We start from the raw sequence: 18528 nt of genomic DNA, 5'->3' as shown, positions 1-18528 counted from the left end.
TACTATGTTCAAGGCATGTCCTACAATGATATATAAAGTATTACTGCTGCCATCATGGAATTAAAAGAATTTATAGATTGTGAAACCAAAGGTACATAGGAACTGTAAGACAATTTCACCCTATTGGTTCAAATCATTTTATGCATAGTAAGAAACACCACCATATTTCAAAGTAAAGAACCGTTCCTATAATAAATGAATTCAGCAAATTTTCAGAATACAAAATTAATGCACACAAATCAGTAGCTCTGCTATACATCAACAGTGACCAAGCTGAGAATCAAATCAAGAACTCAACTCCTTTTACAGTAGCTGCAGAAAAATAAAATAACATACTTGGGATACCTAAACCAGGAGGTGAAAGACCTCTACAAAGAAAACTACAAACACTGCTGAAAGAAATCACAGATGACACAAACAAATGGAAACATATCCCATGCTCATGGATGGGTAGAATCAATATTGTGAAAATGAACATACCGCCAAAAGCAATCAACAAATTCAAGGCAATTCCCATCAAAATAGCACCATCATTCTTCATAGAACTAGAAAAAACAACCCTAAAACCTATATGGAACCAAAAAAGAGCCCACATAGCCAAAGCAAGACTAAGCAAAAAGAACAAATCTGGAGGAATCACATTACCCGACTTCAAACTATATATAAGGCCATAGTCACCAAAACAGCATGGTACTGTTATAAAAACAGGCATACAGATCAATAGAGCAGGAAACAGAACCCAGAGATAAACCCAAATACTTACAGTCAACAGATCTTTGACAAAGCAAACAAAACATAAAGTGGAAAAAGGACACCCTATTCGACAAACAGCGCTGGGATAATTGGCAAGCCACATGTAGAAGAATGAAACTGGATCCCCATCTCTCACCTTATACAAAAATCAACTCAAGATGAACCAAAGACTTAAATTTAAAACCTGAAACCATAAAAATTCTAGAAGATAACACTGGAAAACCTTTCTAGGCATTGGCTTAGGCAAAGACTTCATGACCAAGAACCCAAAAGCAAATGCAGGCCAGCTGCAGCGGCTCACGCCTGTAATCCCAGCACTTTGGGAGGCTGAGATGGACGGATCACTTGAGGTCAGGAGATTGAGACCAGCCTGGCCAACATGGCGAAACCCCATCTCTATTAAAAATACAAAAATTAGGCGGGTGTGACGGTACACACCTGTAGTCCTAGCTACTAGGGAGGCTGAGGCACGAGAATCGCTTGAATCCGGGAGGCAGAGGTTGCAGTAAGCTGAGATGGTGCCACTGCACTCCAGCCTGGGCAACAGAGGAAGACCTTGTCTCAAAAAAAAAAAAAAAAAAAAAAAAAGCAAATGCAACAAATCAAAGATAAATAGATGAGACTCAATTAAACTAAAAATCTTCTGCCTAGCAAAAGAAACAATCAGCAGAGTAAACAGACAACCCAAAGAGTGGGAAAAAAATCTTAGCAATTAACGCACACAACAAACAATTAAAACATCCAACAAAGGACTAATATGCAGAATCTACAAGGAACTCAAACAAATTAGCACACACACACAAAAAGAACCCCATCAAAAAGTGGGCTAAGGACATGAATAGACAATTCTCAAAAGATATACAAATGGCCAACAAACTTGAAAAATCGCTCAACATCACTAATGATCAGGGAAATGCAAATCAAAACTGCAATGCGGTATCACCTTACTCCTGCAAGAATGGCCATAATCAAAAAATCAAAATATAATAGATGTTGGCATGGATGTGGCGAAAAGGGAACACCTCTGCGCTGCTGGTGGGAATGCAAACTAGTACAACCACTATGGAAAACAGTGTGGAGATTCCTTAAATAACTAAAAGTAGAACTACCATTTGATCCAGCAATCTCACTACTGGATATCTACCCAGACAAAAAGAAGTCATTATACGAAAAACATACTCACACACGCATGTTTATAGCAGCACAACTCACAATTGCAAAAACATGGAACCAGCCCAAATGCCCACCAATCAACAAATGGATAAAGAAATTGTGGTGAACCAGGGAATATTACTCAGCCATAAAAAAGTAACAAAATAATGCCATTCACAGCAACCTGGATGGAATTGGAGACCATTATTCTAAGTGAAGTAACTCAGGAATGGAAAAGCAAACATCGTATGTTCTTACTCATAAGTGGGAGCTAAGCTATGAGGATGCAAAGGCCTAAGAATAATACAAGGGAGTTTGGGGATTCGAGGAAAGGTGGGCAAGTGGGGTGAGGGATAAAAGACTACACACTGGGTACACTGGTCGGGTGATAGGGGCATGAAAATCTCAGAAATCACCAGTAAAGAACTTTTTCATGTAACCAAGCACCACCTGTTCCCCAAAAACCTACTGAAATTAAAAAAAAGACTGCTTCTATAAATGAGCATAAACAAAAGAAATCTGAACAGAAATCTTACTGTTCTACAACCTATATGCCTGAACCCAGGATGTTCTGGAAAGGGGAGTGTCAGAGTTAGACAGCATTAGCTCCCAGGCACATCCAAAGGCATAACCACCCCTTCAAACAGGCATTTGGGAAAACACCAGGCAAACATCTGTGTGTGTGTGTGTGTGTGTGTGTGTGTGTGTGTGTGTGTGTGTGTGCATGTGCGCACAGTAGGTGAGACGTACAATGCTCCTCAAACCATTTTCCAACTGTGACACTCCCACAGGAACAGGCCTTGGATTGGCCCCTGGTAGATCAAAGAAGCAGAGAGCCGATTCAAAAGAATATTGATGCCTCGATTTGTTGTTACAGTAAAGTCTTCCTTTTCTTTTATGGATCAGAGGAGTAAACAGATTGACACACAGATCCTTCTAACTTCAACTCACCAGAAATTAACAAAAAAGCAAAAAAACTAGTGCTGTGGCCCATACAAAATGGGCTCCCACCCATGCAAGACAAATATCAAAGGGGCAAAACTCTCTGGGGAAGGATAATGAGACACTAAAGTAAAAGTAACTATGACCCAATGGCAAAGGGAATCCTTTGGCAGGAAGAATAAGAGGAAGCAACAAACATGCAAATTACAGACAAACTGGCTGGGGACTGGTCTATTCCCCCACCTTAAAATTACTTTCTCCAAAGGGTGAGTGAAGTGCCTGACCAGACCCATAAAATTATAATACAGCTGCCCTCCACTGACTTCCTCTATCAAAACTGCATTCCTGAACTCTAGATGAAATAAATATAGCATGATACAAATTGTGAAGATCTATTTATGACCCCCACTTTTAACTGTTTCCCCATGAGAATAACCATACAGAATGAAATGTGTAAGGTGATGCCATTTGCCAAGACTTCTCACATATATCATGGTATATGTAGGTTGCCTGAGACTTCTTTACTAACCCAATAACTGAAATTCAAGGCCTTGCTACTGGTTTTGTTGATGTTATATTCTAGCTTCCTATATTTTCCCCAACATTTTTATTAAAATCTAGGGAAAAAAATGATTACAGTTTTTTGGTAAATAGTACAGGACTCATCTTCCATGTTACCTGAATAAGATTTCTCATCTACCTTTTCTGTCTCGGACTAATGACAGTCAAAAGAAATATACTAGAAAAAATTTAGGAAGCAATGAAATGCACAAATAAGATAAAAAAAACTAAACTGTGCAGGTCTATGAGTAATGTGACCTCTTATTATCTTATATTAGTATCAAGACTTTAGATCTGACTGGCCTGTCAGAGTCTCACCTTTAAAATTAGACCCTTTATTTCCTTGAATTCTGGATATTTGGTAAAATAATAAAGAAAGAAAATAAAAGTAAACACTTTCATAACACTGAGTGTTTGGTAAAATGAAGTCTTTGTAACTTAAGACAAACATTCAGCTTAAAATTCAGTGAAAATCAAAACAAAGAGAAGCTCTAGTATGGGCGATTAAATTAATGGCCATATAATTTGAAGAGAGGAAAGCACAGGAGACATAGCCCTAGACAAAGGGGACCCAAGAGATCAGCATAAAAATCTCAGCAGAGTCAATAATTAAATGGATTAGAGGGAAAGTGACTATTTGCATTTCTAATACTTCTATCTCAAAATTGGTATTTTTAAAATTGCCCTTGTTTATTTAAAAATCATGTACTTAAGAGGAGGCAATCTCAAAATATTTCGATTTGGGAGGAAAGTTTTCTAATTTCTGTTACGTACACCAATAATTCTTTCATTTTATGACTAATGTATTTTCTGTCCTTTGCTGACCAGTTGAACTTTGCTCAAATAAACACAAGTTTCATTGAAGGTTAAGCTGCGGATTTCAATCACACTGCTTCACAATGCTAAGGGCATTATTTGGCAGGAGACACTAATCTTCCTCATGAGATGTTCTGGTTCAAACTTTAAAACTAAATAACAACGGTGACTTCTGCAAATAAAAACTTCAGGTGCTAACGGTATCCTGGTGAAGTTGAATGTCAAGATTTCACAATAAGAGGGTCTTCAATAGAGCCTCCAATGAGCAATACAGCCCGACAAAGCAAAAATTTAATTCATGGACACTATTTCATTCAGCCCTGCTTATAATAGAATAATATTTATTAGATTTGCAGTACTCAACACGTTTTATTTTATTAAGCATACCTATATTTAGGACTTCAATTTTCTAGCACTAAAAAGTATTTTACATCTAAATCCAACATTTTATTTACTCTACTAACATTAACTATTTAGTTTTCTTTTCATCTAGGCTGAGTAATAACAGCAAAGCAAATTAGAAGTGGTCACTCCCAGACAAGTTTTAAGTTACACTAAAGTGATCTAACTACACTAAATTTTAAAATGCCCCGTCAGATGAAAATCAAAGAAGAGTATGCTAAATAAATGCTGTACTTAATCAGATTAAATGATTTCTAGCATGTTTAGTTTGGATTTCCATTAGCTTCATTTCCAATAAAAATGAGAAGTTCCGGGCCGGGTGCGGTGGCTCACGTCTGTAATCCCAGCACTTTGGGAGGCCGAGGCAGGTGCATCACGAAGTCAGGAGATCGAGACCACAGTGAAACCCCGTCTCTACTAAAAATACAAAAAATTAGCCGGGCGCAGTGGCGGACGCCTGTAGTCCCAGCTACTTGGGAGGCTGAGGCAGGAGAACGGCGTGAACCCTGGAGGCAGAGCTTGCAGTGAGCCGAGATCGTGCCACTGCACTGCAGCCTGGGTGACAGAGCAAGACTCCATACCAAAAAAAAAAAAAAAAAAAAAAAAAAAAAAGAAGTTCCTCAGGTACCTTTTTCTTCTTAGTAAATACAGAATTAAAAGATCACATTACATTATGGTTTATAAGAATATGAATAGTAAAAACAACAAATCACACATGGTTCCATAATATAACCTATACCAAAAAGAAAGCAATAAATGGATCAATACATTTCACAACCAGGAACCCAGAGGTTTTTTTGAAGTAAGGTATAAATTAAAACAACAGAATGAGCATATCTCAAGTATATACACATTCTCCCAATCTGCCAAGAAACTCTCTCAACTGAGTTAAAGATGTTTAAAAGTCAGGAAAACAATCACCACCTTATAAAAGCAGAACTGCCAAGTTCATAATTGGAAATATCATTCTATAATACCACTAATATACCCACATGAACTTTTCCCCCAACTCCAAAACACCCAGCAGAGGAGGTGGAATAAGCACAAACACCACCTCCACATTCTGAAGTTACCGAAAGTCCTCCTTACCAATGGGAAAACTAACACTTTCAACTTACTTACAAAATAACTCATTTCCATTCCAGATAAAAGCATATACACATTAATCAACTTAATTTTCCAAATCCCCAATTTTAACTTGTCTGTTACCTTAAGATTATAGTCCCAATAAATGACAAAAAGAAACCAACCCAGCCACAACCTCACAAAGTAGCCAATTTTTCCTAATAACTCCGGGTTAAGTATCAGCAATGACAGTAATATTGTTAAACATCAAGAACCTGAAGCCATTTTACAAATAGTTATTTGGTATATCTAATAACCAAAATATCTTTGCAAATTTGAGAACAAAGATAACAGTTTATCTGTTAGGCTTCAAAACAAAGAAAATGTGAAGGACTTGCCCAAAGTGATTCAGCAAATTGTAGCAAAAATGAAAATCAAATTCCAGTTTCCCACCCAGGCACAAGGTCTAACCTACAAGCCATTCTGAATACTGCAATTGGAAACAATACATTTTTGGAAGTTGAATTTAATGTAAACAATAGACTATGTTCAAATATCCTTTCCATAGATATCTTAACTAAGATTATTTATTTAATGTATTACCTACCATTTGAAATGGCTTTAAAAGCAGATACAATAAAACCAATAAAACCAAACAATACAAATAAGCAAAAATAAGTTATGACTAAGAGAGAGAGAGAGTGTGTGTGTGTGTAAACAGAAAGAAAATTAAAATAAAGATCTGTTAGGAGATTCAGTTAAGTTTCATGTTTCACATTATCCATAATGACAAAGTACCAGGTCCTAGGGCTACTGCTCCCAATCTTTTCTGCCTCATAATACACATGGAAAATTATATTTGTACAGCCACTGGAATAAACAGAAGAGACTAGCCCTCCCTCCATCCTCTTCTCCACCTCCCTGCTCAGCTAAGGGGATCAGTTCTCATGTTCTAATGTAATCCATTTAGACCACACCAGTAGGCTGTGTCACATAGGCTGGGAAGTTCTGCCTTTGAGAGAGCAAAGAGTTCCTGGCCCTCGTGTCTGAAAAATATTCCACCTTTTTGCTCCTTCATAAAAGGGGCACTGTACATTAAGGTAGATGATTACTTCAAAAACAGCCATAAAGCACTTCATATAATGTACACATCAGTGTAAGCTGAGGGCACAATGAATGAAGGCATTTCTGCAGAGGGCTAACACAAGTGGGAAAACTCCAAATTTAAAGGAATAATCAGACTATCGTTCATGCTGTTCACCACAAATAGCCTTTCTCTCAAACAGGCTTTTGATAAAAACTGGGAAGTAAGCAGTTCAAAATCACGTTTCAGAGAGGACTTGAGTTCCTATACTTTAAACGTTAACTGAACAGATGGTAGGTATCCATACTTGTGTGAAAACTGAGCGGCCCAACCACACTTCAGACTGGGTAAATGCCATCCCACCAGGCCAAGGCAGAGAACTGGGAAGGTGACAAGACAGGTCATTTCATCGCTACATTAGGTGTGCCTCTTTATTTGTAACTACCTTTGAAAAAATGAAAAAAATGTCTTGTTTGGCTTTGTGGAAAAATTTATAAATACTTAGGAGCCAAAGTAAATTCCATTTGCCTGCCCTGGCAGGAACAGAACCCACAGTGGGTTTTCAATTCTCCAACACACCCGGCCTGAGGTTCCAGCCCTCTCAAGCCTCCTATTCACAACATCTTTGGCAGCCAAGTTGATCGATCTATTCTCCATACCCAGGGAGAAGTTGGCAATACATGCCAGGCTTGACATCCAATCCTCTGATAGAGTAAGAAAAATCTCCAACTCTTTCCACCAACTCCTGCAAGAGGTTCCTCTGCTACCTCTCAAAGGACAAAGGTCTGACCCCATGAATGGCAAACCTAGTTTGTAAAGTAAATATGAAATAAATCAACCACAGAAATAGAAATGCTTGTGCTTTTTACATGATTTTTCTCTATAGTGTGATCCAACTGTGGTGGTTGAAATTACATCTATTAGAAGCCTGGAACAAATAATCACATTTATGGCTGTAACTGAAACTTCCACTCTTAATCTGAGGGCCTGGTTTACAAGCTCATGCAAGGTCCCAGATAGGTGTGTTTTAAGTTGATACTGTCACAGGCAATGTGCAGCTACTACGTAAGATACACCAAGGGGATATTCTTTTTGAAAGAATATTTGATAAGGAAAGGCTCTGATTTCTCATTCATCCATAAAAATCAGCTAGCTTATAGCAAACTACAAAACAAGCCAGCAGTCATCCCCAAATTCTCTATAGAGAGTAGGGTTTAAAATGAACTTTCCTTAGGCAGACTTTGTGACCATGTCCCCATTATGCCTGCTTCCCACATTAAAACACTCACCATACATGATGGTTGGTATTCATGTAATGTCTGCCTTCCCCACCAGACTGTAAACACTGCAAAGACAGGAACCATCTGCCATATTTAACTACTACATCCTTAGTACATCGTACAATGTTAGATGTGGAAGAAACGCTTAACATTTGTTGAATGAACTATCCAAAGAAATTAAACAAGATCAAATACTACTTTTTGTTTTCCTTCTTTACATGCCCTCACCTTTCCCAGGCTATGTTAAGCTCAACTCTACCGTGTCACCAATAGGGCCATGACTCAGTCCTTTCTCATTAAAGATCACAGAGATCCAGGAAAAACTGAAAGAGTAGGAATTAGGAGGTGTACAATGAGGCCTGGGCTTAGTCAAATACTTGCAGTTACAAGTAACAGAAATCTGCTCAGGTGAACTTAGGCACAAATGGGCATATCCAATAAGAGAGAGTGGTATCTTTTGAGCTCAAAGGCAGAACACAGCCAGGATTCTCAGGGGATTAGGAGGATGAGGAAAATCTTGTGCATCACTTGCTTGGGCTTTCTCTTTATCAGGAGCCAGATGTTCTTCCTTCCCTGGTTCACCCTACCTTTTCTGCAGATCAGCTTTTTTACTCTTTCTCCATGCACACAAACGCCTCACAGCTCTTGGGTTTATATGTTCCCAGTAAAATGGCCCTGCCCAGGCTGAGACTAGCATTTCTGCCTCCAAATTCTAAATTCCTGGGAAAATCAGATTGGCCCAGGGACAAACGGCCTTAACCAGGCCAGCTTGGTTTTTCCTGGCTCCCTTCTACGGAGGAGGAGCTTCTCAGAAAAGACAGGGTAGGAAGACATCCCCAAAGCAGTGCTTGTGTTTTCGACCATGATGCGTCTGCTCTTCTTTCTCTTGTCTGCAACTCCCCCAAGATCACTCAACCTCATCACACTCTGCCTTTTAAGCTGGTTTCCTGTCATCAAACTTGGCCTTCACTATTTATTCTTTCTCATTCAATGCCTTCCACTTTCTTCCTTTCATTAAACTTCAAATTATTCTCAAAGCTGTAATGCATTTACTCTCTTACCTGGAATATGACAAACACTATATTTAAAAGGTATTTTAATGGACAAAATTAACAAATAAGTCATTTTAATAAATGCACAGAATATTTTCTTTTTATTTTCTTCTGTACTTGGAATGCTACTTATTATGTAGTAGAATAAACATAAAATATGGTCATATCTGCTTTGTGGTATTTATTTTATAGCCTCTGAATATATTGTGCATTTTTACTTGTTTTGAAACCAATATCACATAACCATTATTTAAGAATAATACCGAGTAACCTCTTAACAAAACCCCTCTCAATAGGAAGGACTACAAAACAATTCCTTGGAAACTCAAATCTATTTCATGTTCTCTAACTGATTGAAATGTAGCTTATTTCCTCATGCAATAAGATTCTGCCTCTCTCAAGTTAAACAAATCTTAAATTCTTGCCCAGGTCAATTATTACATCATCTGAATGCGTAAGATTCCTAGGAACACAAAAGCCAATTTCTAACCAATTGTGATGAAGATAACTTTCTTTTTCACCTCTACACAGTAGTAATCTTTTGAATGGATTCAAAAGATCATTTCAAAATGATTTCAAGAGAAATCATCTTGACCATATACATCTTGTTTGTCTGCAAATCCCTGGCATCTAGATCTGTGGCCTGTATACAGTAGATGCACAGTAAATATCTGATTGACTAGCATGTATACTTACATCCATATATTTACCAATCAACACTATATACACGTGGCTTTACATGTGTTCATATAAACATGTACATAGATCATCAACATGTTTGCTATAATGTCACAAGACAATGTTTTCAAACCTCAATGTATCTTCAAATTATCTACGGTTTGGGTTTGTTTCATTTTTTTTCTTTGGAGACAGAGAGAGAGAGGTGGCATCTTGCTATATTGTCCAGGCTGGTCTTGAACTCCTGGCCTCAAAAAATCCTCCCGCCTTGGCCTCCTACAACACTGGGATTACAGACATGATCTAACCCGCCCAGCCTATCTAGGGATTTTGTTAAATGCAGATTTTGATTGAGCAGCTCTGGGGTAGAACCCAAGAGTACATTTCTAATAAGTTCTCAGGTGATGCTGATGCTACTGGCCCACAGACCACATTTTGAATAGCAAAGTAATCCCTTTTTAACTCTATTTAGTAGAACACCGAAGGCAAAGTATACAAATAATCACAAGGTCCTCTTTCTCAAAGTTCTTGTTCAGTCATAAGGAAAATGGATGGTAATCCTCTCAGGGAAACACATCTTTATTATCAGACCAAATCCTTCAATAAGTATTTATTGAGCACCTATGCCAGGTGTAAGAGCTATAGTGAGCTTAAGTCATTCTTGCATATAGCTTACTAAATGATGAAAACACAACTAAAAGCTTCTCTGTATCTCAGTGATATCCAAATAAAGACAGCATTACAGGATGACACCAAAATGTATGTGTATTTGTATAGGGGAAAGGGAATGAGTTAGCAATTAGGATCCTGTGCCTTCATGAGGTCCCTATTAACGCTCATCTTATCTCAATAAGATTCCTCGCTTGCCATCCCCAAATCCCCATCATTTTGCCCAGGTCAGCCTCTCCCTTTTGCAGCGTCATGGGACCTATTGATCTCTGAGGCCAACTTCAACTTGCTGGATTACAGCCCTCCCTCATCTCTTACAGTTAGATACTGTGGCAGGTTTGATGAAGAAGCAAGACCAGAAAAAATACTGGTTATATCATTTAAAAAACAGGAAAAAAGGCTAGGCGTGGTGGCTCATGCCTGTAAGCACTTTGGGAGGCCGAGGCAGGTGGGTTACCTGAGGTCAGGAGTTCGAAACCAGCCTGGCTAACATGGTGAAACCCCATCTCTACTAAAAATACAAAAATTAGCTGGGTGTGGTGGCATGCGCCTGTAGTCTCAGCTACTCGGGAGGCTGAGGGAGGAGAATCGCTTGAACCCGGGAGGTGGAGGTTGCAGTGAGCCAAGATTGCAATACTGTACTCCAGCCTAGGCAACAGAGGGAGACTCCATCTCAAAAACAAATAAACAAACAAATAAACAAAAAAACAGGAAAAAAAAACCTAGAGAATTCTCTACTTTTCCATTTATCTAAACCCTCATCACCGCCATGGCTTAAAAAGAAAGTTCAGCTTGATCCTGTAATGTACGACAGTATCTTCTAGAAGCAAAACAGGTAAAGGAAGGATATAGCATTCGGAATTACAAGAAGTTTCTTCTTCCCAAAAAAAGCGTTGAATACTTTGTTCAGCTTGGTTATTATCGTCTATTTACTACAAAATTCTAAAGACATGCAAAGCCTCAAAGATAATTTGAAAATCATTTAAAATTATTATATCATTAATAATCATTTGTTTATAAACAAGCAAAATTGTTGTTTGAGTTATTACAGTACTCTTTTGCCAGAAGCAGAATTTTAAGCAAATCTACAATTTAGCATGAATTTATTTTGGCATATGCTTCTGAGACTGGGATACTTATATCAAGAGATGAGGTACACTGCAGCAAGCCAGAAGGTATAGGACTCCAAACAACAAACCTGGGGGATTTTTCTACAATGTCAATTTTAATTAAGGTTTGAAGGGCAGGAAGTAAGGGAAATGTTTAATACAAGTAATAATAAATTTAAATAATTATTTTGTGCTAAAATAAACATGGGATAGGATGCCCAAACTTCATTAATTTTAAAGATAAAAGACTAGACTAAAAAGAAATTTCCTATTTTGGGGGGCCAGGTCTTCTTCAGCTGTGGGGGAACTTCTGCCAGTGGAATAATCTAAGAATCACACATTTCTTTTAAAAGTGTACTTGGAAGATCCATTATTTATCAGTGCAAGGACATAATTCTCAGATAAGATCTTGGGGAAATGAAATCAACATCTAATTAGAATGTTTCAATCCTAAGCAAATCCTTCTGAGAACTGAATGCTCAATGCTGAATGTCTTGAATTTGAATAAATGATATAACAATAAGGCAAGGACAAATTTACTTCACAAATGTAATCACTGGACAAAATTTTGAATTGCCTAAGGACATACTTTACAAAATAGCTGAACAAAAAGTTGGAAAAGAGAGGGAGACTGCTGTAATCAGAAAGCCTACGTGCTGTAGTCCTTCTTCCATTAATCTTATTCAGAAGCTATGAATATAGAGTCAATTTCAGAACAATTTTCTTACTTTACATAGTGAAAGCCTTAGAAAATCTAAAATGATTTAATATGGTACTTTTCATTATAATGAGAATCCCAACCTCAGTCTTCTCTACTTAAGAAGAAAATACAGAGAAGGCAATCTGGGAAGGACATGTCTGGTTTTTCAAGACAGCGATTTGGATACTTACAAGGCATTGCATGGTATACGCTTGGCCAATACTGTCCACTGTCTCTCTTTAACCAAACACGAACTGTCCTACAACAGAAGAAAATATGTACATGAAATCACATTATTCTTAGCCATGGGAAAATGCTGATACATAGAAAACAAATCTCTTAATATTATATATAGAGAGGCCAGGCGCGGTGGCTCAAGCCTGTCCCAGCACTTTGAGAGGCCGAGGTAGGCGTATCACTTGAGGTCAGGAGTTCGAGACCAGCCTGGCCAACATGGTGAAACCCTGTCTCTACTGAAAAAAAAAAAAAAATTAGCTGAGAGTAGTGGTGTGCGCCTGTAATCCCATCTACTCGGGAGGCTGAGGCAGGAGAATCACTTGAACACCAGAGGCAGAGGTTGCAGTGAGTCAAGATCATGCCACTGCACTCCAGCCTGGGTAACAGAGAGAAACTCCGTCTTAAAAAAAAACATAAGAGAGAGAGAGAATATCTTAACATACCTATGTATCTTAACCATAAATACATATATATGAACACCATATATACCTGTCTAAAGATTCTATATTCCTTAAACTTGCGGCTTCTACATATTCAGAATTATATATAACTCTTTAAATATCATGCCACACATGTGTAATCATGATAGTGTTTGAAAATTATTATTTTCGTTCTTGTTGTTTTGCCTTTCCAAGCATCTGACCTTTGCCCTTGACGGCTAGAAGCATTCATCTGGCTGGGGAACTATTTGGTTTTATTAGTGAAGGGACTACAAAGAGATCAAATGAAAAAATATGCAGTATCTGACATGAACAGAATGATTATACAGTCCATGGTCTTGTAAGCCAAGCCATTGTCTCAAGGGAGTTTTTCTAAACATGCTCAAGTAATTATAAGCTCTGAGGCAGATTTTCTGAGCTAGTGGCGTCCATGAGGCTTGCTATGGAACAGAGTGATGCTGCAGCAAAGGCTGTGCATGAAGTTCCAGGCCAGCAGCTGTAGAGAGACAAGGCAGACACCTAGGAAAAGTCAGAGAGCAGACACCAAAGACTCAACTAGCTGGGAAGTATCATGATGTTCTGACCAAACAAAAAGGCCCGACCATGAATTATACTAGCCATAACATCATCAGCATATGCCAGCAAGGCAAACACAAGTAGGAGGTTGAAAGGTATTATCCCGGAGACCAGAGGAAATAGTGAACATCAAACAAATGGAAAAAGTCAGTGTCCCACTGCCAGGGGATCATAGGCCACACACCTCACCCCACACTCTTAAGCCATCCCAGGGTTAAAAGCAGAGTGACAAACTGAGCACTTTTATCTCAGAGAGAGTTGGATACTTCCTAAAGATACTATTTAAGTCATCACAATGGACTAAGTTTTAAATTATATTGGATATCTGCCACCTGCCCCACTCCAGCTAATCAGGAGGTCTTCTATAAATAAGCAGGCTGTGCGCGGTGGCTCACACCTGTAATCCCAGCACCTTGGGAGGCCAAGGTGGGCAGATCACCTGAGGTCAGGAGTTCGAAACCAGCCTGGCCAACATGACAAAACCCCGTCTCTACTAAAAATACAAAAATTAGCAGGGTGCAGTGGTGGACGCCCATAATCCCAGCTACTCAGGAGGTTAAGGCAGGAGAATCACTTGAACCTGGGAGGGAGAGGTTGCATTGAGCCAAGATGGCGCCATTACACTCCTGCCTGGGCGACAGAGCAAGACTCTGTCTCAAAAACAGTAAATTAATTTAAAAATAAATAAATAAATAATTAGTAGGAAAAAGACTAGACCAACTACAGATATAATAAAGAAAGAACATTTAAGTTATGATGTTAAGTTTGCATATACATGCAAAATTCAGTCTTTTTGGTCAATTATATTAATTTGTGAGGTGAACAGATACAATGGTAAATAACTTATAAGAATTAAATCTATGCATACACATACTGCTAATATAGCGATACGCATATCGGCATTCACTCTTCTCTTAAGCAAGTTCTTTTTACAATACATGTTAATACAAAATTGTTTTATTGAGATTATTACCTCAATAAGAATCAATACCAGAGTAATATCACAGAAGATGGTGGACTAAGACACTCCAAAATCAGTCCCTCCACTAAATCAACTACTAAGCTGGCAAGAACTGTCAGCCCCATCCCTACGGCAGGCAGCCATGGAGATTGCGGCTCATGTTCCTTGAGTGGCCTGCTTGTACCAGGAAGCGAACATTGTCCTCCACAGTTTGTAGGGGGTGTGTTTGATTTGTCTGGAAATTCATTGAGAGATTTAAGCAAAGGCTGGCTATTGTTTCAAACCCTTAGGGCTGAAGGGCTTCCCAAGCAGTGTCTTTCAAAAGAAATTAGAGACAGAAACTTTTTTATCCTTATCGGACGCAGGCATTTAAGGAAATCACTGGCTGACTTTAGACATAACAGAACAGAGACCTCAGTGATCACATACAACAAGGAATATAGTATTTGCAAAAATAGTTTAGAAAAGTCACTAAACAAATGGATAACTACAGCACTCAACAAGTAAGAACAGCAACCTCTGGAGAGGGAGAATTATATGACTTCCAGAATTACTGCATTATAATATTCAAAACGTCCAGTTCTTAACAAAAATTGCAAAGTATACAAAGAAAAAGGAAAAGAAAAACAAATAAACTGACAGAAAAATTCACAGAAAATTGACAGAAATTCACAGAAAACAGAAAAAAAGAAATTGACAGAAACCATCCATGAAGAAGCTAAAACAGGCTTACTATACCAAGACTTTAACAGTTTTAAAAAGACAAAGAACAAAGGAAATCAGGACAAGGTTGTATGAACAAATGGGGAGTATCAATAAAGAGACAGAAATTTCAAAAGGGAATCAAAGAGAAATTCTGGAATTGAAAAGTACAATAGCTGAAATGAAAAATTCCATAATGAGGCTCAACAGCAGGTTTGAGAGTCAGAAGAGACAGCAAACCTGAAGATGGGACAACTGAAATTTCCCAGTCTGAGAAGAAGAAAGAAAAAAGAATAAAGAATAACAAACAGAGCGTAAGAGACCTATGGGACATCATCAAGTGTACCAACATATGCAATATGGAATTCCTATAGTAAGACAGATGAATTCTCTATCTAGCTGCACTATCCTTCCAAATGAAGGGGAAATTAAGACATTCTCAGATAAACAAAAGCTAATGAAATTCATTACTAGTAGATCTTCCTTATAAGAAATGTTAAAAGGAGTTTTTCAGGCTGAAACAAAAGGACACTAGATGGTAACCTGAAGCCATACAAGAATTAAAGATTACTGGTAAAGGTCACCACACGAGTAAATATAAAAGTAAGTATCACTGTATATTTTGTTTATAACTCCTCTTTCTGTTTCCTAAATGGATTAACAGACATATGCATAAAACAAGAATTTTAAGTCTATGTAAATGGGCAACAAAAGGGGTAGGAACAGAGCTAACTAGGAGCAGAGTTAATGTACACTAGTAAAAATAAATTGATATCAATTCAAACTAGATTATATAAATTTAGGTATACAGAAGAGAAAAATAAGGGAATCAAAATGGTACATGAGAAAAAATCAAACGTAGAAGAAGGCAATAGTGGAGAAATTGAGAAACAAAAAACAAAGAGATTTAAGACATAAAAAATAAATAGTGAAATGGCAGAAGTCTTTACTTATCAGTAATCACTTTAAATATAAATGGATTAAACTCACAAAAACAGACACTGGTAGAATGGATTTTAAAAAAATATGGTCCAACTTTTTGCTACTTAAATGAGACTACTTTAAACCCAAAGACACAAATAGGTTGAAAATGAAACAATAAAAAAGACATTCCATTCAAATAGTAACCAAAAGAGAGCTAGGTGGGTATAGTGATAACAGAAAAAATAGGTTTTGAGTCAAAACTTATTACAAGAGACAAGGACACTATGTATTGACAAAAGGGTCAATTCATCAAAAAAATAATAATTGCAAATATATATACTCCAAAGAACAGAGCCCCTAAAATATTAATACATGAAAAGTAAGCACTGACAGAACTGAAGGGAGAAATAGAGAGTTCTACAATAATTGGAGACTTTCACTTACAATAAAAGATAGAACATCCATACATATAAGGAAACAGAAGACTTGAACAACACTACAAACCAACTAGATCTAATGATATATAAACAACACTCCAACTAACAACAACAGAACATACATGTTTTTCTGAAGTACACATGGAACATTCTCTAGGATTGCTCAGCTGTTAGGCTGTAAAACAATTCTTAATAAATTTTAAAATTGAAATCATACAAAGTATCTTCTCCACGTATAAAGGAATAAGGCTAAAATCAATAACAAAAAGAACTGGGGAAGAAGTTACTAAGAAAATTAGAAAATACTTCCAGATGAATGAAAACAAAAGCACAACACATTAAAATGTATTGGGGGCTGTGAAAGCAGTACTCAGGAAGAAATGTATAGCTATAAATGCCTATATTAAAAAAGAAGATCACAAATCAATAACCTAATTTTATACCTTAAGGAAAAGCAAACTAAACCCAAAGCCAGCAAAGGAAGGAAATAACAAAGATTAGAGCAGGAAAAAAAAAAAAAAAAAGGGAAAGATAGAGAATCAATGAAACAAAAGGTCAGTTCTTTGAAAAGATCAGCAAAAGTAACAAACCTTTAGCTAAACAGAAATTTAAAGGATTATAGGAGAAAATTTATATGCCAGCCAATTAGATAATCTAGATTAAATAAACAAATTCCTAGAAACATACAATCTACCAATACTGACTCAAGAAGAAATGGATAATCTCAACAAACCTATTACAAGTAGAGATTGAATCAATAATCAAAAACTTCTCAACAAAGAAAAGTGCAAAACCAGACGGCTTCACTGGCAAAGTCAATCAAACACTTAAAGGAGAATGAACAACAATCCTATTCAAACTTCAGAAAAATGGAAGAGGAGAAAATACTTTATAACACATTCTATGAAAGCTGGACAAAGATACCACAAGAAAACTACAGACTTAAATCTTCATGAAGACAGATTCAAAACTGCACAACAAAATACTAGTAAGCCAAGTTCAACAGCACATTAAAACGATTATATACCATGACTGAGTGTGATTTATCCCAGGAATGCAAGGGTAGTTCAATATAAGAGAAATCAATCAATGTGATACGGCACATTAATAGAATGAACACACACACACACCCCTCAACAGACACAGAAAATGCATTTGACAAAATTCAACAATCTTTCATGAAAAAAAAACATAGCATACTAGGAATAGAAGAAAATTTCCTTAATCTAATAAAGGATATTCATGAAAAATCCACACTTAACATCATACTCAATAAAAAGTGAAAACATACTCCCTAAAATCAGTAATAAGGATGCTCAATTTCATCACTGCTATTCAACATTATTGGAAGTCCCAGCCAGAGTAATTAGCCAAATAAAAGAAATAAAAGGCATCCAAACTGGAAAGAGACATGTAAAACTATTTCTATTGGAAGATGACATAATTCTACTTATAGAAAATCCTAAATAATCCACTCAAGAAAAAACGACTGAAGCTAATTAAATTAATTAAGCCAAGTTACAAGGTGCAAGATCAGCAAACAGAAACCATCTGTGTTTCTAATAACAAATATTTCTAAAGAAATTACAGCCCCCAAAACACTTTACATATATATTTAATCTTTACAATACCCTATTAAATAGAGCTCTCTTCACTAAATTTACTACCCTCCTTATACCAACTTGTATTGAAGGCAATTGATAAATCTTTACACCTAAAAATAAAAGTACAGTATATAAAAATATCTGTTCTCTTATCTCCTGAGGTACAAAAGCAGCTTAAAAAAGAAAAAAAAGGTTCTGCATCTTAGAGATCAAAAGTGCCATATGGATGGTTAGGAATTTCCTAAATGAATGTGAATTTTACTATACAAAGCCTTAGAAGTAAGTTTTAATTTTTCTGAAAATTGTTATTTTAAAAGCAACATGAAAAACATTTTTCCCTGAAGAAAATTTTCAGAAAATGACAACTATGGTTACGAGTCATAT

General features: G+C 37.0%; 1 protein-coding gene across 9 annotated transcripts in view, besides 1 other annotated feature; it reads right to left on the bottom strand.

Moving 5' to 3' along the window:
- Window positions 1–18528, bottom strand: part of WDFY2 (WD repeat and FYVE domain containing 2) — a 183248-nt gene that overhangs the window by 94592 nt on the left and 70128 nt on the right. For all 9 annotated transcript variants that reach the window (XR_007063659.1, XR_941483.2, NM_052950.4 and 6 more), the window contains one exon: window positions 12455–12522. Coding sequence is in view for 7 of the 9 variants with exons in the window: in NM_052950.4 (NP_443182.1) it covers window positions 12455–12522 (68 nt within the window). In the remaining 2 variants the exon portion in view is untranslated. Of the gene's footprint in view, window positions 1–12454; window positions 12523–18528 lie in introns of those variants that run through there.
- Window positions 631–925: a silencer, noted in NCBI's record as "tiled region #2859; K562 Repressive non-DNase unmatched - State 24:Quies". NCBI's record gives its function as "represses a minimal TATA promoter and a strong SV40 promoter by Sharpr-MPRA in K562 cells {active_cell/tissue: K562}" and the evidence as "EXISTENCE:reporter gene assay evidence [ECO:0000049][PMID:27701403]".

The sequence above is a fragment of the Homo sapiens genome, chromosome 13, assembly GCF_000001405.40.
Source record: "Homo sapiens chromosome 13, GRCh38.p14 Primary Assembly".
Classification (NCBI taxonomy): domain Eukaryota; kingdom Metazoa; phylum Chordata; class Mammalia; order Primates; family Hominidae; genus Homo; species Homo sapiens.
This window is presented reverse-complemented; position numbering and strand designations above follow the sequence as displayed.